The sequence below is a fragment of the Homo sapiens genome, chromosome 16 (genome assembly GCF_000001405.40).
Source record: "Homo sapiens chromosome 16, GRCh38.p14 Primary Assembly".
Lineage (NCBI taxonomy): Eukaryota > Metazoa > Chordata > Mammalia > Primates > Hominidae > Homo > Homo sapiens.
The window spans coordinates 19,324,282-19,346,400 of NC_000016.10; the positions used below are offsets into that span (position 1 = coordinate 19,324,282).

At 44.3% G+C, this 22,119-nt stretch overlaps 1 long non-coding RNA gene and 1 pseudogene across 1 annotated transcript; both read left to right on the forward strand.

Annotated features, from left to right (window-relative positions):
- Nucleotides 1-1,244: 1,244 nt before the first annotated feature.
- LOC124903781 (uncharacterized) lies at nucleotides 1,245-1,345 on the forward strand (annotated as a pseudogene).
- Nucleotides 1,346-9,893: 8,548 nt separating this feature from the next.
- LINC02858 (long intergenic non-protein coding RNA 2858) lies at nucleotides 9,894-13,518 on the forward strand. Its single transcript, XR_950883.3, has 3 exons — nucleotides 9,894-10,003; nucleotides 10,913-11,302; nucleotides 12,699-13,518. It is a non-coding gene; the product is annotated as a long intergenic non-protein coding RNA 2858 (long non-coding RNA).
- Nucleotides 13,519-22,119: the final 8,601 nt, after the last annotated feature.

The following is a 22,119-nucleotide window of genomic DNA, read 5'->3' on the forward strand; positions in this document are numbered from 1 at the left end:
TTCCTTAGCTCAGAAATCCAAACACACATTCTTCCTAAACCATAGTATCATTCTCAGTGTCTGCTTGAGTTTTCGCTGTCAGATGCGTCTGCCATTCACTTGGTTATGGACAGCTCTCTGTAGAGTGGAGGTAATAATATTACCATCATGAAATTACACACAAGTGACTTTTGTTTTTCCCCATGCAGTTGTTGAAGCACTTTGGAAAACCCAAGGCCTACAGTTTCTTCATTTCTTCTATTAAAAATAATTAAGAGGCCGGGCCTGGTGGCTCACGCCTGTAATCCCAGCACTTTGGGAGGCCAAGGCAGGTGAATCGCTCGAGGTCAGGAGTTTGAGACCAGCCGGGCCAACATGGCAAAACCCTGTCTCTACCAAAAATACAAGAGTTAGCTGGGTGTGGCGGTGCACACCTGTAATCCCAGCTACTCAGGAGGCTGAGGCAGGAGAATCACTTGAACCCAAGTGACAGAGGTTGCAGTTAGCTGAGATTGCACCACTGCACTCCAGCCTGGGCAACAGCATGAGATCCTGTCTCAAATAATAATAATAATTATAAGGAATATTATTCAGCCATAAAAAGGGAATGGAGTTCTGATGCATGCTACAACACAGATGAAGCTTGAAAACATTATGCTAAGTGAAGCAAGCCAAACACAAAAGGACAAATATAGCACGATTCTACTGAGAAGAGGTACCCAAAGCAGGCAAATTCATAGAGACCAAAAGCAGACTGGGAGGGCTAGGGGGAGGCAGGAATGGGGAGCTATTGTTTAACCAGTGAAGAGTTTCTGTTAGGATGGATGAAAGAGTTCTGGAAATGGTCCAGGAGTGATGGCTCACGCCTGTAATCCCGGCACTTTGGGAGGCCAAGGCTGGAGGATCACCTGAGGTCGGGAGCTCAAGACCAGCCAGACCAACATGGCGAAACCCTGTTTCTACTAAAAATACAAAAATTAGCCCGGCATGGTGGCATACGCCTGTGATCACAGCTACTTGGGAGGCTGAGGCGGGAGAATCGCTTGAACCGGGAGGTGGAGGTTGTAGTGAGCCGAGATCACGCCACTGCACTCCAGCCTGAGTGACAAAGTGAGACTCCGTCTCAAAACAAAAACAAAAACAAAAACAAAAACACCAAGAAACAACAAAAAAAGTAACACTTCTGGAAATGGATAGTGGTGATGGTTGCACAACATTGTGAGTGTGCTTCATGCCCTGAATTGTACACTTAAAAAATGGCTAAGGTGCTCAATTCAGCAGCACATATACTAAAATTGGAATGATATAGAGAAGATTACCATGGCCTCTAAAAAATGTAAAAATAAGAAAAAAATGGCTAAGCTTGGAGGAATGCTGAGAAGATTGTCAAAGCATACAAAATCTCAGGCAGGAGGAGTATATGTTGTTTTGAGTTCTATTGCACGGTGAAGCGAATATAATTAATAATAGAGTATTGTACATTTCAAAATTGCAAGAGAGTAAATTTCAAATGCTCTCACCACAAAAACATGTTAAATATTTGAAGTGATGGATACGTTAACTAGCTTGATTTAATTATTCCACATTGTATTCATAAATCATAGCATCACTTTGCACCCCACACATTTATGCAATTATAAATTGTCAGTTTACAATAAATGACTTTTAGGTTTAATGGTAAATTTAAAGTTAATGGTAAAGCTAAAATGGTAAATTTTGTTGTGTATATTCGATCACAATTAAAAAGTAAATAAATGAGTGGGTACCTACTATGTGCCTGGGAAAGCTTCATTCTCTCCTGTGGTGTCTGATTTAAAAGAACTTCCAGGGCCCAAATCCAGAGGATTTGCCCAGAGGTAAAAGAATCAGTTGCTGGGAGCCTCTGCTATATTTCTCAACCCAGCCTCTTCCATGGAGGTGCCAATAATCCAACTGGACAGATGGAGGGCCATTTTTACCCCAGTCCCAACAGAACATTCACCAAATAAAAATAGCCTTGCCCAGAGGGTTTCCTCTCAACCAGGCAGGTTTCTTCCCATCCAAATAGGGAGGGATCCCCACTGATTGTGATACTTACCATGAATTCCAGGAAGCCAGAAATAGGAATGAGCCTCTGAACCTCTACGCTGCCGTCCTTTGTTTGCAGCCCTGCTGGCTCCTAGAAAGGGCCTGTACAATCCCATCCACCCACCTACATCTTACCTATCTTCAAACGATAGCCCAAGTTTTGCCTTCTCCAGGAAGTCTCTCTCACTGCCCAAGCCTGGAGTCTGCAAAGGGCTGGAGGAAATTTCTCCCCTTTCCTGCAGTCAAAATATACCTCCTATTTGGCCATATTGTTTCCTTGATTTCCCTATTAGACAGAATATTCTAATTCTAATGGTGCCAGTGCCATTCATGAAATTCTTACAGTGTACCAGGCAAGATGCCACCCAATTTACATTAACCCTCTCATTTACTTCTCACAACAATCCTATATAATGAGCCTTACACTTATCTCCATTTACAAATGAGGAAACTGAGGTTCAGAGAGGTTAAGTAACTTGCCCAAGGGCATACAGTCAATAAATAGAAGCACTGGAATTGGATCCAACTCTGACTCCAGAAACTATGCACAGAACCACTAAGCCTTGGCTTCCACACTTTTTAGACAATGACCCTCAGGAAGATATACATTTTACACGGTGACCCAGTACACACCCACATGTGCACCAATGCACACACACAACAAAAACAAAATTTCACAAAACAACACTTACCATATCTATTCTAATTATTATTTTTTGAATAACACATTTTTATGTGTTATTGGTGAAATGCACATAACATAAAGTTTATCATCTTAACCATTTTTAAGTTTACAGTGGTATTAAGCACATTCACATTGTTTTGCAACTATTATCATAATCCTTCTCCAGACCAGATCTCTATCTCTCTCCTCTTTCTCTGTTATAAAATAGTTATAAAATGTTACATGAAATATATATAAATACATATACATCATATATATATATATATATATATATATATAGAGAGAGAGAGAGAGAGAGAGAGAGAGAGAGAGAGAGAGATGAGGTCTTTCTGTGTTGTCCAGGCTGGTCTTGAACTCCTGGCCTCAGGCAATTCTCCCACCTCAAATTACAGGCATGAGCCACCACACTAAACCTCCAGATATTTTTTCATCTTGCAAAACTAAAGCTCTTTGTTCACTAAACAATATCTCTCTATTCCCTCCCACCTCAACCTTCTCCCCACCCAACCAGCATTCTACTTTCTCTCTATGAATTTGACTACTCTGGGTACCTCATATAAGCAGAATCACACAGTATTTGTCTTTTTGTGACTGGCTCGTTCATAGCCACCTTGCTGTCTTCTGGTTACTATTTGCTTTGAATATCTTTTTCATCCTTTCACTTTCACCCTATTTGTATCCCTAGATCTAAAGTATCTTGTTGACAGCGTATAGTTGGATGGTGTTTTTTTAAGTGATTCATTCTGCCAATCTCTGTTTTTAGATTGGATAATTTAATCCATTTAAATTTAAAGTAATTACTGAGGGACTCAGTTTTTGTCATTTTGCTATTTGCTTTCTATATGCCTTATGCTTTTTTGTCCCTCATTTCCTGTGCTCCTGTCTTCTTTTGTGTTTATTTGATATTTTTGAAGTGACATGTTTTAATTCCCTTCTCATTTCCTTTTATGTATAAATGTATATTCCACTATTTTCCTTGTAGTTACCATGGGGATTACATTTAACATCCTAATGTTATAACACTCTGATCTGAATTTAAACCAGCATGACTTCAATAACATACAAAAATTCTGCTTCTGTCAGCTCTGTCCCCACCCCTGTTTAGTTATTCATGTTGCAAAGTTGTGTCTTTATACATTGTGTATCCAAAACCAAAAACTAGTAATTTCTTATGCATTAATCTTTTAAATAGTGTAGAAAACAAAATGTACACTAATACGAACCAAAGTTACTATAATACAATCTTTTATAATTACCCATGTATTTATTTTTATTAAAATATTTATTTCCTCATACAGCTTTGAATTACTGTCTAGTGTTCTTCCATTTCAACCTGCAGGACTTCTTTTAGCATTTCTTGCAGGGCAGGTCTAGTGGTAATGAACTTCTTCAGTTCATTTTTGTTTATTTGGGGATGTCTTAATTTCTCTTTTACTTTGGGAGGACAGTTTTGCCAGATACAGAATTCTTGGTTCACAGTTTTTTTTTTTTCAGTACTTTGACTATATCAGTCCACTGCCTTCTTGCCCTCAAAGTTTCTAATGAGAAATCTGCTGATAATCTTATTGAGGATCCCTTATATGTGACAAGTTGCTTCTCTCTTGATATTTTCAAGATTTTTTTCTTTATCTTTGGCTTTCAACTGTTTTATTATAATGTGTTTTGGTAGGAGTCTCTTTGAGTTCATCCTATCGGAGTTTATTGAACTTCTTGGATGTTTATGTCTTTCATCATTTGGGGAAATTTTCAGCCATTAGTTCTTTTTTTTTTTTTTTTCTCAGTGATTATTCCCTTTATTTTTACGTAATGTAAATGTAGCTAGCAGGTTTAAAAAAAAAACTTTTACTAGAAGCTGATATATATCTCTTAACATCACTATCTATTTAATTTTTTTTTTTTTTTGAGACAGGGTCTCTTGCTCTGTCACCCAGGCTGGAGTGGCAGTGTTGCAATCTCAGCTCACTGCAACCTCCGCCCCCCAGGCCCAAGCGACTCTCTGGCCTCAGCCCCCCAAGCAACCGGGACCACAGGTGCGTGACACCACACCTGTCTAATTTCAGCCATTATTTCTAAAAAAAAAAAAACAAACAAAAAAATCTCCCTGCCCCTTTCTCTCTCTTTTCTTGTGGGACCCCCCCCCTCCCAGGTTGAGGAGAGCAAAAGAAAAGAAAAAAAAAGGGCCCTTTAAATCCCCTGGAAGTTGCTTCAGCCAGAGGGGGAGGAGCTTGCAATAGCATAGGGAGGTGGGCAACAATGGCTACCCACCATGTGTCCGCACCGTCATAATCAGGAGCAGCAATCACAATCAGAACACAGAGCCCCAATTTTTTAAAGACAAAGCTCCTTTTGTTCACCCTGGCTCCCTTGCAACCTGCAAGCTGCTATAGGAACATGTGGACAGTTCCCTGCCACCATGCTGAGGATAGGTAACTGTTATCTTGCTACCAGCTGAAATTGACTGAAATTAACCACAATTTACCATCCAAGCCTTCTCTTGGAAGTTGCAATCCTTCAAATAGATGCCAGTGTTATAAAATAGTTACATCAAATACAAATATATATATATATATAATATATATATATAGAGAGAGAGAGAGAGAGATTGAGAGAGAGGGAGAGACAGAGAGACAGGAGAGAGAGAGAGAGAGAGAGAGAGACAGAGAGACAGGAGAGAGAGAGAGAGTGTGGGCCGGTCTCAAACTCCTGAGCTCAAGTGATTCACCCACCTCGGCCTCTAAAAGTGCTGGCATTGCAGGTGTGAGCCATTGTGCTCAGCCAAAAATAGTTACATCAAATAGATTCTGCCAGTGCAATTGTTATTTAGGTAGGGAGACGGATTCCTGATGTTTCCTGCTCTGCCATCTTCCCAGAATCCTCCTCTAATTATTTTTAAATCCACTAAGTCCACTAAATTCATTTCCCAACCCACTAATGGTTTGCAACCTGCAGCCTGAAAAATTACTGGACTAAACTATGCCAAATTGTCAGCACTTAAAAATTTTCTAAGCACCTACTATGAGTCAGCTGTGAAATCTGGCTGATGGTCTCAAGAGAAATGAGACAGGGCCCCTGGCTTCAGAGATTTTGCATTCTAGGACAGGAGTGTGGAAGAGACAGAGAAAGAGATGACTCGTCATTTGAGCATCTATGATATACCAAACTCTTTGCCAGGCACTTACACATCTGATGTCACTGGTTTTCAGACCAATTCTATGAATTAGGTCAGTGTTCCTCAAACTCTTATGTGCATAAGAGTCACCTGGGGATCTTGTGAAAATGCAGATTCCTGTTCAGCAGGTCTGGACCAGGGCCTGAGAGCCTGCATTTCTAAGAAGTTCCCAGGTGATCCCTATGCTGCTGGTCTAGGGAACACATTTTGAGTGACTAGGAGTCATGTGTTTTAAGACTTGTTTTTGTAATCCAGGTGCAGTGACACTCACCTGTAGTCCCAGCTACTCAGGAGGCTGAAGCAGGAGCATCACTTGAGCCCAGAAGTTTGAGTCGAGCCTAGGCAACATAGAGAGACCTCATCTCTTTAAAAAAATGTTTTTAATAAGAAAATAAAAATAAAACTATTTATTGACTCATTCCTACATAACAAGCACCATACTCGGCACTCAGAATGTAATAATGAAGCCACAACTTGAACGCAGAGCTCTCTGATTTCAAACTTATGCTCATACCCAAAGAAGTGGGAACAATTGTTCTCAATACACAGGAACGGAAACAATAGGAGATGGCGCTGGGAGGGAGGGTAGAGACCAGGTCAGGACCAGTCTCCAGGGCCAGGCTGGGGGACTGGTGGGCACTTTAGCTGTCATGGAGGGCATGATTTGATGCAGTCTGACTGGTGGTCAGGGTAAGCTGATGCCGCCCTTCTGAGTTCCTTGAGGCCAAAAAGCCTATGAGTCACACGGCAAGTCACTTCCAATACATGCCCCATGAGGCAGCACTTTCCGCAGTAGCCTTGAACTATTCGCTCTGTAGCTTCCAAATGAGTCTTTGGGGGCAGGTTTGCCAAATAGCACAGCGGGTCCAACCCACCAAAGGCCTCCATAGCCTGTGATCTGTCAGTCTCAGATTCTTGCCCCTCAGCAAGACACTTGGCTTAACAATCAAAGCCACCGTGGCTCTGAAATGCTCAAATATTTATTCCACTCACTGTTTGCAATTTGCTTTGTGTGATTTCTAAAGCTGGAGTGCTTCCAACCACAAGGAACAGCTTGGCAAGACCACTGCTGACTGCAAAGAGACTCAGTGCCCTTCAGCAGATACAAATGAGCACCAACCTTGTTCCATTTCCTGCAATAGGCATTAGGAGCATGGGGAGATTTGAAAATGTGATACAGAGGCCCCAATGTCATTATATGGGCTGTGTGTCCCTCTCTGCTCAGAAGTGGCTCAGAGAAAATCCAAATGGCCAGTAACCATGGCCAGCTCCATAATAAGATACAGGGAACCAAAACATCAGCAGGATGACATGATTCTTCCTTCAGAAATGTAAAAGATAGAAAACATTTGGTGTTGGAGGTGTTGTAGTGAAATAGACACCTTCATATACTGTTATTGGGAAGGCTGATTTGAGAAACTTTGGAAGCAATTTGGGAGTTTTTGTTGGGAGTCTGGACATGTTCAATGGTTTCTGACCCAATAATTTTACTTCCAAGAGCCTATCACTAAAGAGACAAACACAGGACTTGATGTAAGAATTGAGAGCTCTGTGTTCTGGGCACACATGCCTTGGAACTCTTACGGCAAGTTGTGAAGGAATCAATAGCTTGTGCGTAGTTCTCCATAGGGTATGGGACAGATCTAAAGAAATGTGCTTCAAGATACAGGTCATAAAGACCTTCCTGATAAAACAGGTTGCAGTAAAGAAGCTGGCAAAAACCAAGATAGTGACGAGAGTGACCTCTGGTCATCCTCACTGCTACACCCCCACCAGTGTCACGACAGTTGACAGATGTCACGGCAACATCAGGAAGTTACCCTACATGGTCTAAAAAGGGGAGGAACCCTCAGTTCTGGGAATTGCCCACCCCTTTCCCAGAAAACTGATTAATAATCCACCCCTTATTTAGCATATAATCAAGAAATAATCATAAACATGGGTAACCAGCCCTCAGGGCTGCTCTGCCTATGGAGCAGCCATTCTCTTATTCCTTTACTTTCTTAATAAACTTGCTTTCACTTTAAAAACAGAAAGGAAGGAAGGAAGGAATGAAGGAAGGAGGAAGGGGAAAGAAGACAGAAGAAAGGAAGGAAGGAAAGAAAGAAAGAAAGATGTGCTTGCAACCTGTTTGATGATCCTTCTTGCTCTCTCTTTTTTTTTTTTTTTTTTTTTTCTTACTGAGATGGGGCTTCACTGTGTTGCCCAGACCGGTCTTGAACTCCTGGCCTTAAGCAATCTTCTCTCTTCAGCATCCCAAAGTGCTGGGATTATAGGCCTGAGCCACCGTGCCCGGCCTCTGATCCTACTCTTGTGGCTGCCAGGCTGTTACAGCTCTAAAAACACGAGATTATATTCAGCCTCCTTCCTTGAGGGGCTCACAATCCAGTAGGGAAGAAACATGTTTACATAAAAATAACAGACTTGAGGTTGGGTGCTGTGAGGGAGGGACAGTACCAGGAACCAATCCTTACCAAGAGCCCACTGTGTGCTGGGCACCTCATTTGTGTTATCTCAGCTAAGCCCCATTCTTCTGGCCACTGTGGTTGTTTCAAGGGGAGGCACATGACTCCCCTGGTCCAATCAAATGGTTCTCTGAGATTTTACCAGGAGAGAGTAATATTTCTTCCCTCTAATACCAAGCTGTCTTCCCTCTAGAATACCTAGCTGAGCTGACTGATGGCAGCTTGGTATGGCCTAAGGACTCCTTCTTCATTGAGGCCAAAGCACAGAGAGGAGCTCAGCCAAAAGACAGAGATTCTTGACGTTGTTGTTTGAGTCCCTGGGCCCACCGCTGAGATTCCTAATTACAAGAACCAATAAACTTCACTTACTGCTGGCTTGTTTTGGGTTTCTGTCACTTGCAATAGAAAAAATCTACATGGAAACAAATACAAACATGGCAGGCAATGTGAACATGTGTCTCTTCTTGCTACTTTAAGTGCCCTTCCTTAATGCCCACTATGGCAAAGCCCTTTCCTCCATGGACTCCTCCTAACAAACTGGCAGACATTATTAACTCCCCTTTCCACAGTGGAGGAAACAGTTTGAGAGGCTAAGAACTTTTCCAGCATCACCCAACCGTTCAGTGGCTGAGCAGGGATTTGAATTCAGATCTGCCTTACACCAAAGCCCACGACTTAGCTGCTACCCTATACCATGGGAGGACCTGGGTTCCTCCCACCCTAGAAAGAGTGATTGTACCTGGTAGTTCTTTGGGTTCTGATCATTCTTTTGGGTTTCCTATGGGGCTGGGAACATTGTAGGGATTTAGTAAATAAGGCAATGACTCATTTTCACAATAGCAAAACTCTTGCAAATATAGAAAGACAGACCACTCCATTCTGCCGCTTTCTAGCTATGTGATCTTGGATAAGTTGTGTTGTCTGGGCCTCAGCTTCTTCATCTGTAAAATGGTAATAAAAACAGTGCCTACCACATAATGATGTTGTAAAGATGGAATGAGGCCCAGTGTGGTGGCTCACACTGGTAATCCCAGTGTTTTGGTAGACCAAGGTGGGAGGATCCCTAGAGGCCAAGAGTTTGAGGCCAGCCTGGGCAACAAAACAAGACCCTATCTCTACAAAAAATAAAAATAAAAAAATTAGTTGGGTGTAGTGGTGTGAGCCTGTAGTCCCAGCTACTCAGGAGGCTGAGGTGGGAGGATCACTCAACCCAGGAAGTCAAGGCTGCAGTTAGCCACGACCGCACCACTGTACTCCAGCCTGGACAACAGAGCTAGACCCTGTCTCAAACAATAATAACTAAAAAGGATGGAACAAAATGCATGTAATGTTCTTGTCATAGAGATAGCATTTGATTAATGTTTGCTATTATTATTCTTATTGACAAATGTCTGAATTCCAGGAGGATTCTAGAAATTATGAAGCAGACAGCATCATTGGAAGAAAAAAAATGTGCTGCTGCCCATAGCAACTACTATGAGACCATCACACTACTGACTGTAGAGGAGTGATTGTGAAGAAGGCAGCCACTCTCACCAGCTGGGGCTGATGTGCTGGTATCTTGGCCAATGAGATGGGACCAGCACTCTTGTCTGATGTCTCATTGGTAGCCTTCATTAGAGGAGCTTCCTGGGCTGGGTAAGTAACTTTTGCTTAAACTAGCTGGGCAGAACCGCAAAATGAGTGTTCTTTTTGCCTTGGAATAAGTTGAGAAAGGGTACAGGCAGCAGGAAGGAAGACAAGATTTGGAGTAGAGAAAAAAGAAACAAATACTCTATATTAGTGTATAAGCTAAGCTGCTATAACAAAGAGATCTCAAAATAGAATGGCTGTGGGGTTTTTAAAGTTTATTTCTTGCTTTTATTTTTGTCTTGTTTTGTTTTCTTAAGAGACAGGGACTTGCTCTGTCACCCAGGCTGGATTGCAGTGGTACAATCCTGGTTCACTGCAGCCTTGAACTCCTGGGCTCAAGCAATTCCTCCCCCTTAGCCTCCCAAGTAGCTGGGACTAGAGGCACATGCCACCACACCCAGCTAATTTTATTAATTTATTTGGGATGGGGTCTTGCTATGTTGTCCAGGCTGGTCTTGAACCCCTGGCTTCAAGCGATCCTCCCACCTAGGCTGTTTCTTGCTTTTGTAAGAGTTCAGAAGTGAGCAGTCCAGGCTGACGAGGTAACTCTGAGCCACACAGTCCTTCAGGGGTGAAATTTTCTTCCAATTTGTTTCATGTAATAGATGTGGCCCCACCCTATCCATCACTCACCTATGGGAAAGAGAAAAAGAAAAGTAGCAAGGCAAGAAAGTTCCTTTTAAGCAAGTGATGCAGATGCTTGCTGACATCATTTCTGCTCATATTCCATCAGTGAGGACTTATTCCCATGGCCGCACCTCACTGCAGGAGAGACTGGGAAATACAGCCTCAAGCCGGCAAATCTGTGCCCAGTGAGACTCCATTATTATGGAGACAGTGGAGAACAGGTACTGGGGGACAATAAATGGTCTTGTGCTGCTGGAAATCATCCTGTGTTACCTCTCTATGTTACAGATGAGAAAAATGAAGCCCAGAGATGTAAAGACACTTGTTCAAGAGTACACAGCTTCTAGGAGGAAGCACTGGATTAGAACTGGGTTTCCTGACTCCCTATCCTTTGCAGCCCACAACTTTGGAGAGCATAGGTCTCAAAGACCAAGACAGGAACCAGAAGGGGTGGACGGAGTCATGCTCCATGGTCTTAATTGGCTAGCCCACCCTTGCCCTTCCCTCCTTGTCTCTTCTACCAGCTTGTGAGCTCCAGGCGGGCAGGGATAGTCCTTGTTCATTTCTCGATCCCCAATGTCCAGGATTAGCACTCACTAAGTGTTGTTGCTGAAAAACTGCATCATACATGGATGAAAGGATCACCCAGGGATGACCTTGACATCACAAATAAGGAAGGTAAGCTTGACCAGTTAGGAAAAGAATCTTCCATATAGCCTATCCCCCTGCTTGGGTGGGTGAGGCGACCTTGCCAGGGACTCCTCCAGCACTCTGTGTGGATCCTGTATTTCATCACACTTCATTGTCTTGGTTTCCAGGCACACTGGCCTCCCCACTAGAGTGAGAACAGAGGAGCTGTCTTATTAACAAAAGGCAGCCCAGCATAGCAGCTGAGAGGCCAGACTCTGATAACTAACTGCCCGGGTTCAAAGCCTGGCTGTGCTATTGACTAGCTAGGTGGCCTTAAGCAAGCTACTCCATCTCCTTGAAGAACAGCTTATCTATAAAAATAGAAAAATAATAATAATAACTTTTTTGTCTTTAGCCGGGTGTAGTGGCATGCACTGGTATTCCCAGCTACTCAGGGGGCTGAGGCAGGAGGATCACATGAGCCCAGGAGTTCGAGGTTATAGTGAGCCATGATTTTGCCATTGCACTCAAGCCTGGGCAACACACCGAGAACTTAATTCTAAATAATAATAATTCTGTCTTAGTCAGTTCGGATTTCTATAACAAAATACCCTAGGCTGGGCTATAACAAAATACCATAGCAACAGACATTTATTTATCTCAGTTCTAGAGGCTGGGAAGTCCAAGATCAAGGTGCCAGCAGATTGGGTTCCTGATGAAGCCTTTCTTTCTGACTTGAAGATGGCTATGTTGTTGCTGTGACCTCATATGGCACAGAGGAGAGAGAGAGAGAAAGAGAGAGGGAGGGGGGAGAGAGAGAGAGAGAGAAAATGATCACACGCTCTGGTCTCTCATTCTCTTCTTATTAAGAAGAGAATTCTCTTCTTATTAAGACATTAATCCCCTTATAGGAGACCTACTCTCATGACCTCATCTAAACTTAATTACCTCCAAAAGGATCCACCTCCAAATATCATCACCTTAGGGGTTAGGGCTTCAACATATGAATTTGAGAAGGGACTAGAAACATTAATTCCATAACAAACACCTTCAGGAGGTTTTTGGAAAGCTTAAGTCGAATCTAAAGCACCTAGAACAGTAGCTGGCACACACTTAACACTATGTAGATGTTTGCTGTTATTTTTGGTGTTGGTATCTCCAACTCCAACAGCGCAAGTATTTGCTGAATTAATGAATGAAGGTATGAGTGCGTGAGTGAAGTAGAATGAATGAATGAATGGTGTGGGTTACCATGCAAGTAATAAGTCAATGGATGAGTGGGTAGATGGCTGGGTGACTGAATGAAATAAACAAACAAGTGAATACATCAATGCGTAGATGAATGATTAAATGAAAAATGTGATTATATAATAGAAGACCTTTTTTCTAAGATATTTTCTCTAGAATTCCCACCCCAGTCTCATGAATTGCCCTTGCTATGTAGGAACAGGACAGCCTGTGAGGTCACTGCGGTGACCTCCTTCGCAGAGGACCTCTGGTACTGCTCCAGCCACCAGTAAGCCCACTGCCTCTGGGCACTGCTCAATGCTGCCCTTACCTGGACCCAGACCATCAAGCTTGTCACAGGCTCCCCCCAGGCATCCCAGACATGACATCCAAGACAGTTTCCTGTTACTCTCCATCCTGCTGGAGAGTTCCAATGACCTATGGCATGAATACTCCAGACAAAGTGTTCCAGCCTTCCCCAGAAACCTCAAAAGTCTCTCAGGCACTCCAAGACTTCCAAGGCCAAAAAACTCAAGATGTCTTTAAACAAGACCAAAGACCCCCTCAGGAATCTGGCCAAGAAGCCCCCCAAGAAGGCTAGGCCCAGCACTTTTGAGCCTAGATCTTTCTACTGCCTTGACCTCTGCCCCCTCCCACCAGAGCAGCTACAGGCCCCAGAGCCCCAGTTACCCTTATCAATCTCAGAGGCCACAGATGTCTATCTCCCTGAGGATTTCCCAGCTGAGCCCAAGCTCATGGACCAGTCCTGGGTGTCCAGGAAGAGCCTGAAACCATCCAAGAGTCATCTTATGGAGCCACCCACTCCAGTGGCCAAGCACCAAAAGGCAAAGACCCGACATAGGAGTGAGAAGAAACAAAACAAATAAATGCTTGGCATCTCCATCGACCTGGTCCTTTTCAGCCCAGACCTATCAGCTCCAGACATCCCAAAACATCACCCTATTCCAGAGGCCACAGAATTCATGATTCCAGATAATTCGTGTTAGTCTTTGCTATTCAATAAACTCCTGGCTGCAGCTTCTACTTCCTGTATCAAAGCTAAGGCTCACAGTTGAGCAGGTTGTGCACTGCACCATGTTAGCCCTGGTACAGTACACAACCTGCCCAACTGTGAAAAACTGGCCCTTAGACTGACCCAGAGTCTCAGTCTAAAGGGGCACTGTTTACATCACTGCATTATAGATTTGTGTACTGTACTTACTTTGGCAATTTTCAGCAGATGGCAGTAAAGTGTCTTGAAGAAGGGGAGGTTTTACTAATTTAAAAAAAGGCACCAAAATGGCTACTGGTGACCCTGCCAAATACCTTCCTGGGTGGGAAAATGAGGCCCCAAGTTGGATCTTTGGCAGAATAATATGGTTAAGAGCTCATGCTCTGGTGCCAGAAAGACTGGGGTTGCATCCCTGCTCTGCCATTGAAACTGGCTACCTGACCTAGACAAGTGATTCTAAGTTATTTGAGACTCAGTTTGCCCATGTGCAAAATGGGGATAATAATAAGACCTCAAAATGTTGTTGAAGGGGCAAAATGGGATAAGCCATTTAGCCCAGTGATTGGCACATAGTAGGTGTTCAAGGAGCCCCTGCGAATAGTAGACACTTAGACCTCTACTGCTTTATCTCCACAAACCAGCAAGCAGGCTCCCTCCAGGAAATGATCCTTGGCTTTGCACTAACCACATGGCTTAAAAGGGACCTGCTCCCTTCTTTCAGAGCCTTTCCCTTGACGCCCATTGATTGGCCTGGAGGTGTCACCTGACCTAAGCTAAGCCAATCAGGGGACTTTCCTGCATTTTTCAATTTAGTATCCAAGGGAACAAGGTTCAGTGCTTAGCAGGGGATGAAGCTGAGACAGGTGGCTCGAGAGGAGGTGACAGGAGCTGCACTGAGGAGCTCAGCTACCATGAGGAAGATAAGGATCTGGAAGAAAGAAGCCAGTAGGAGGGAGAGGGGCTGGGAAGACAGAAAGAGTGAGTCGCCTGGTGACATCTGAGTCCCTGAGACCCAGAGTGATACTTGCCTTCCCCACACTTATGCCACAACTTGGAGCAATCTTTTTTTTTTTTTTTTTTTTTTTACAGGGTTCCTGTCACCCAGGCTGGAGTGCAGTGGCATAATCATAGCTTACTGCAGCCTTGACCTCTCAGGCTCAGATGATCCTCCCATCTCAGCCTCCTGAGTAGCTGGAATCACAGGCACACATCACCATGCCTGGCATATTTTTTTGTAGAGACAGGGTCTTGCTCTGTTGCCCAGGCTGGTCTTGAATTCCTGACCTCACAGAATCCTCCTGCTTTGGCCTCTCAAAGTGTTGGGATTATAAGGATGAGACACCATGCCTAGCCTGGACCAATCTTTATATTTGGATCAGACCTGATCACTTTACCCTAACAGGCAAAAATCTTCAATAGCTCCCCATGGCCCACCAGATAAAAACAGGGATTTTCTCATGCTGGTAGTCAAACATCTCTAGAATCTGGCTTCAACCCACCTTTCAAGCTTCATCTCCCTCTCTTGCTTGGTCAACTGGATGTTCCTTCACTCTCCAACTTGTGTGACTTTCTTCCTGTCTTTCCTCGTCTAGAATAGCTCTCTTCCCATTACTCCTAGTGGACTTTGGGTAGTGCTGGCCCTACAACCTCTAATTCTCCCTTCATCTGGTACGGTGTTCTGACTTCCTCTAGGGAAATCTCTCTTTTTTTCTTTTGTAGACAGTGTCTCACTCTGTTTCCCAGGCTGGAATGCAGTGGTGTGATCAAGGTTCACTGCAGCTTCGACCTCCTGGGCTCAAGTGATCCTCCCGCCTTAGCCTCCCAAGTAGCTGGGGCTACAGGCATGTGCCACTGTGCCTGACTAATTTTTTAATTTTTTTGTAAAGACAGCATCTTGCTCGTTTGCCCAGGCTGGGCTCAAACTCCTGGGCTCAAGTGATCCTCCCATCTTGGCCTGGGATTACTGGTGTGAGCCACCACGCCTGACCTGGGGAATCTCTTTACCCAACTAGAGATGGATTTCATGGTGTCTTTTCCTGGTCACATGGCCCAAGTAAGGACAGTTGGTTGCTCACTCTTGGGACTTGGAATCTTGAGTAGAGGACACACCACTACCAACAACAAAATGGTTTGAACTGACAAGACTCCTGATGAGTTCCATCTAAGGCTATACACAGATCTCTCCTCCTCTCAGCCCTCACCTTTAAAAAAAAATAATTCCTTAGTCTTCCTTAGTCTTCTGTGATATTACAGTTTTATATATGTTGGTTTTCATCCACAGCTCCTGGGTCATAACTCCCATAGTCCTTGTTACAATGTTGGGTGCTTTAGGTTTTAGGAGGCAGAATCTTTCTCTGATCTTCTCCTGTCCTCTTTTTTTTTTTGTCTTCCTCTGTCCCCTAGACTGGAGTGCAGTGGTGCAATCTCAGCTCACTACGAACTCTGCCTCCCAGGTTCAAGTGATTCTCCTGCCTCAGCCTCCCGAGTAGCTGGGACTACAGGTGTGTGCCACCATGCCCAGCTAATTTTTTGTATTTTTAGTAGAGATGGTGTTTCACCGTGTTAGCCAGGATGGTCTGAATCTTCTGACCTCATGATCCACCTGCCTTGGCCTCCCAAAGTACTGGGATTACAGGTGTGAGCCACCGCGCCTGGCCTCCTGTCCTCCTTTTACCTGATAAGGTAGGACTCTAATCTGATTGTGGTCAAAAGACCTTCATTCCAGAGTGGGTCCTGCCCCGTACCCTAGAGGAAGGAATGCTACACAGAGGGGCCAAGAAGTCTGAGCAGACAGGCCTTGCTGGGTATAGATCATGCACTTTTGTCTAATCACATTTCTACATGGTTGTCAATCATGCCTATGTAATCAAGCCTCCATAAAAACATGAGGACTGGGTTCGGAGAGCTTCTGGATAACAGAACACATGGAGTTTCCTGAAAGGTGGCTCACTTAGGGAAGGCATGGAAGCTCCATGCTCCTTCCCCTATACCTCGCCCTACACATCTCTTCATCTCTATTCTTTATAATAAACCAGTAAATGTGTTTCCCTGAGTTCTGTGAGCCACTTCAGAAAATTAATCCAACCCAAAGAAGGCATCATGGGAACCCCAACATACAGCTGTTTGGTCAGAAGTTCTGGAGGCCTGGACTTGCAACTGGTGTCTAGGGGAAGGGGACAGTTTTGGGGACTGAGCCTTCAAGCTGTGGGATCTGACGCTATCTCCAAGTAGGTAGTGTCAGAATTGAATTAGAGGACACCCAGCACGTGTCCAGTGCCTGGTCGTGGGGAAAACCCCACGCATTTGGTCACAGAGGTCTTCTGTGTTGATGTCTGCGATGTGAAAGGAGAGAAAAAGTCAGTTTGAATGTTTTTCTTAAGCAACTTCCTTATATCTTTCCAAAAAATTCCTTCTTTTCTAAAATTAGCTTGAACACTACAATCAAAGAACCCTAACTCACATGGGTTCTTGTCCAAATCCTACCTAATTTCCAAGACCCATTTCAAACACCTGCTAGAAGTCATCTCTCCCTTCAAAATTGGACTCAAGAAGGCTGGACATGGTGGCTGATGCCTGTACTCCCGGCACTTTGGGAGGCTGAGGTGGGTGGAACGTTGGAGCCCAGGAGTTTGCAACCAGCCTGGGCAACATGGCCAGACCCCATCTCTACAAAAAAATTTTTTTAAAAATTTAAAAAATTAGCCAGACATGGTGGTGCATGCCTGTAGTTCCAGCTACTTGGGAGGCTGAGGTGGGAGGATTGCTTGAGTCCAGAAAGTCGAGGTTTCAGTGAGCCACGATCACACCACTGCACTCCAGCCTGGCCAACAGATCGAGACTCTGTCTCAAAAGCAAAAACAAAAATGAATTGGACTCAACAATAATTTTCCCTTTCCCCTGTTGTCTTCTCTCTCTTGCTTTCTCTCATTCTCTCTCCACATCATTCTTCTTCTAGTCACTCACAGATTCCCACCCTGGAAGGTACGATGGAAACTTCTAGTTGCCTATGCATTATTACCCCTTATTCCTTCCAAAGGAACTCTGATTATGTTGGGAGAGGCAATATGTTGGGCTAGAAAACTACATTACCCATTCAGAGATCATTCTGGCCAAAGAGGTGGAAGTAGAAGTTATTGGGTAGAGACTCTGCTAAAACTCCCTAAAAGGGGGCTGTCTCAGATGAGAGTCACACTTTTGCTCATCTCTTTCTTCCTTCCTGCTACTTGGCATGCAGAGGGGACAGCTGGAGCTGCAGTGACCACTTGTGACTTTGCCGTGACCTTGAGGTTGAAAGGCACATGTTAACCATGGTGAGGCAGGGGAACCTGGATCCTTGCTGCCATACCAACCCTGGACACTTGCCTGCAGAATTTTTTTATATGAGAGACAACTCTATCTTTTAAAGACACCATTGATTAGGTTTTCTGTTTTATGCAATGGATACAGAAAGTCAGGGCTACATAGGTAGGAGAATAATCAGCCCAGAACCAATGTCTGGGCTATTGTTACTCAGAGTCATGGTATAATAATAGAGAAGAAAACACTAAATGTAATTCATGGGTCTGGTTCTAGTCCTAATTCTGTCTTTTATATAAGAAAGAACCTATGTCCTTGCTGTTCACCTTCTAAGCATCACTGGACTCTCCAAAATTCTTTTGGTCCCCAGCCAAGCAGTGGTCACCATCAGTCTCCCTCATCTTGCACAACTTCCCATGACCCAAGCATCCTTTCCCGCCAGGAAAGTTCCCCAAGACTCCTCCACCATCACCCAAACAAAACCCATCTCAGTGTTAATATCTAGTGTTTTTTGAGTGTATATTGTGTGCCAGGCATTGTGCTGGGCACTTTCTACTTATCTCATTTGAATGCACCCAGCAACCCAACCAGATTTTCTGTATGAGAAAAACAGAGTCATAAGTGGCAGAGGTAGAATTTGAATTCAAGTCCACCTGGCCTCTGTAACCACACCAGACCAATCTGGTTCAACTTTTATGTAACAAAGTTGTGAGTTGTTTTTCAGTTGGTATCAACCCCCAGGTTAAAGGTCACATAACCTGAGCTTGCCCAGATGAACCAACTGTACAACCACAGATGGAACTTAAGTTCTCAGACCAAGGAATGGGGACTGAATTAAGAAGTGAACACCACATGGCAGGATTCAGGATCCAATCAAATTGAGCCCTGGTGTCACCCCATGGCAGGATCCAATCAGATCATGCCTCCCAGCATCACCTCATTGCAAGATCCAATCAGATTATGCCTCATTACCCTATGCTTCTAAAACCTGACCCAGTGCCCAGCTCAGGAAGACAGATTTGACCATGTCCTCCTCTCTCCTTGCCAGTCAACTTGCAGGAAAGCTTTTCTCTCTCTTTCTTTCTGTCCACTCTGTGTCCATGTGTTCTCATCATTTAGTTCCCACTTATAAGAGAATATGTGGTATTTGATTTTCTGTTCCTGCATTAGTTTGCTAAGAATAATTGACTCCAGCTCCATTCATGTCCCTGCAAAGGACATGATCTCATTATTTTTTATAGCTGCATGATATTCCATGTGGTATATGTACCACATTTTCTTTATCCAGTCTATCATTGATGGGCATTTAGGTTGATTCCATGTTTTTGCTATTGTAAATCCCCAAAGGAAGCTTTTCTTTTCCCCAAAGCCATTGCCATGGTATTGGCTTCATGAGCATCCAGCCGTGAGTGCATTGATTGTTCAGTAATACTTCTAAAGTGGTGGTCCTAATGGCCGCCCTGTTCTGTACATGAGGAGGAAAGAAATAAAAAATATCAACTTATATCTGGCAGGGATGGCCAACTGTCCCCTAGTCTCTACTCTCCCCTTCTTAAATAAGAGTGGCTCTCCATCAGAGACAATTTTGTCTCCAAGGGGACATTTGACAAAGTCTGGAGATATTTGGTTGTCACAACTTGATGGAGGGATGCTGCTGGCATCTTGTAGGTGAAAGTCAGAGATGCTCCTGAATATGCTGCAATGAACTGGACAGCCCCCTGCAATAAATAATTATCTGACCCAAAATACCAGTAGTGCTCAAGTTGAGAAACCCTATTCAACAGGAGCCAGGGCCTCAATTTTTAGCTGGGCACAGGGCTGCCTAGAATAAAGCCCAGATATGAGTTTGTGTGGCCAGGTGACTAAGTTTTGACCAATGAGATGTGAGCAACTTCTGTACTGTGCCCTTAAGAGAGGCATACTCTCCCTTCCTCTTTTCCCCAATCCTGATGCCTAGAATGTGGACACAGTGGGGTGCCGTCTTGGTGCTTGCAGATGGGGGCAGCATCTTGGGGATGGCAGAGCACCAAGGTGAGAGAAGCCTGCACGCCTGATGACTTCACGGAATGAGTTGCCACACTGGCTGGAAAACTCACGTGAGAGAGAAACAAACTCTTATCTCGCTAAATCCATTATTATCATGAGTCTTGTTTTTAGTGGTCAAAACCTGTGCTAAGACAACGTAAGGATGTCTCCCTCTTTCACCTGCATTCGAGAACTTGCAGTCTCATAAAAATACCCTCTGGAAAAGCTTTGTTTTGGCAGCAGACCTTGAAGGATAAGAAAGCACTAACTGCAATGTCGTCACAACGCCAGGGCATTTATTCTATTCGTACTTGCCCACAAATCAGTTTCATTTGAGTGTGTTAGTTCATCAGATTCCCAGATTTTGACTCAGCCCCATTAGTCTTTGCTTACAGGGCCTCAAGTGGTCTCTTTATGCACAACGACAATCTCCTGAATACACAACAGGTGCACACTTCTGGAATTTTAATCTGTTATCCTGAGGAGAATGGAATGAAGGGGGTAAGTGCCCAGCTTCACTTGAAGGGCTTGCAGCCATAGCTGAGCATGCCCCGGTTCCTTTGTTCTCTCACCAAGTGGCAACTGGAGGCTGTCGTTGATCACTCAGATGCCATTATGATCTCCACTGAGTCATCCACACTGTTTCTTGCAGTCTGGAGAAATGCGGCACTCTCCAGGTTTGGGGCAGAGCTGAGTACTTTCAGAGGTGCAGTGGAAGCAACGCTGACCTAGATATTAAGACATCAGGTTTCTTACTCCAAAATCTGCCTTTAATTAGCTGTAGGATTCTTTTTGTTTGCAAGTGACAATATTTCAATTGGATTTAGCAAAAGAGAAATAATTTATTGGCTCACGTAACTGACAACGTCCAAAATCAAGGTACGGTTGGATCCAGGGACTTGGATGAACCATGTTTCTAGCTTCTGTAAACTTGAAGCTTTAACATCTTCCCGGCATCCATATGCTGGACACTGCTTTTTCTAGACAACCTGATGAGAGGCCTGAGTCCTGAGTCAGGACTTGCCTCAGCCTTCCTTGTCACCTCCCCAACCCGCTTCTTCTGGGAGAAGTCCTCGTCCTGGAGTGTACTTTTCAAAACAAACCAACCATTCCAAGGTCTGACCCCAAGCACCTCCCTTATTAAGTTCTCATGCCCTGGGCCATTACAGACTGCCCTAATCACCCAGCGCCAGGTGCCAGGCAGCCAGAAACATCCCCTATACCCCAGGCCAGAGTCCACTGAAATATTTCTCCTTCCTTCCTTCCTTCCTTTCTTTCCTTCTTTCTCTTTTTTCTTTTAATAGGATCTGACTCTGTCACCCAGGCTAGAGTGCAGTGGCATGATCTCAGCTCACTGCAACCTCCACCTCCTGGGCTCAAGCCATCCTCTCACCTTAGCTGGGACTATAGGCGCACACCACCACGCCCAGCTAATTCTTGTATTTTTTTGTAGAAATGGAGTTTCGCCATGTTGTCCAGGCTGGTGTTGAACTCCTCAGCTCAGGCAATTCACCCACCTCAGCCTTTTGAAGTGCTGGGATTACAGGCGTAAGCCACCGTGCCTGGACTGAAATATTTGAAACTAGCCAATCCTAAGCCCACTCACTACCCTCTCTCATCTACTCTTTCCTGCAGAAACCACAATAAAGGCTCTTGCCCACAGCTCCCTTCCCTTTCTGCCTCCTGCCTGACTCTGGTGCTTCCCCAGGCGGCCTTCTGGGTGGTGACATGTACTCCTTTTGGGATCTTGTGAGTGTAACAAAGCTAATGTATCAATGGCAGTCATCTCCAGGTTGGCCTTGCCACACCTAATTAATAATAAGACCTATTAAAACAGGGACTCGGGCATGGTATCAGGGAGCAGTTTCTCTCCATCTCCTAGCCCCATGATCCCCTGTGCTGGTTTCATTCCCAGACAAGCCTTTCCTGGGAGGTAGAAGAGGTCTGCTGACATCCTGACTGTACATCTTCATGGAGTTAAGTAATCATGGAAGGATGAGTTCTCTTTCCACCAATAATCCTAAACTTGATTTCTGTCAGCCTGGTTTGAGTGACGTGCCCATTCTTGAACCAGTCACTGTAGCCAGGAAGATGGGGTACTCTGTTTGGATAATATAGGAGACTTGCCTACCCCTGGAACCTGGGAATGGGATCTAACCCACTCAAGCCGTAGGATGATAAGCGTGGGAAGGCAGCCTCTGCAAACAAAGTGGAGATGTTGGACAGAAGGAAATCACAGATGGTCACTACCTTCCTTGGAGTCCCCTGAGACAAGGATTTGGTGAAAATAATGTATTTGGGAGGT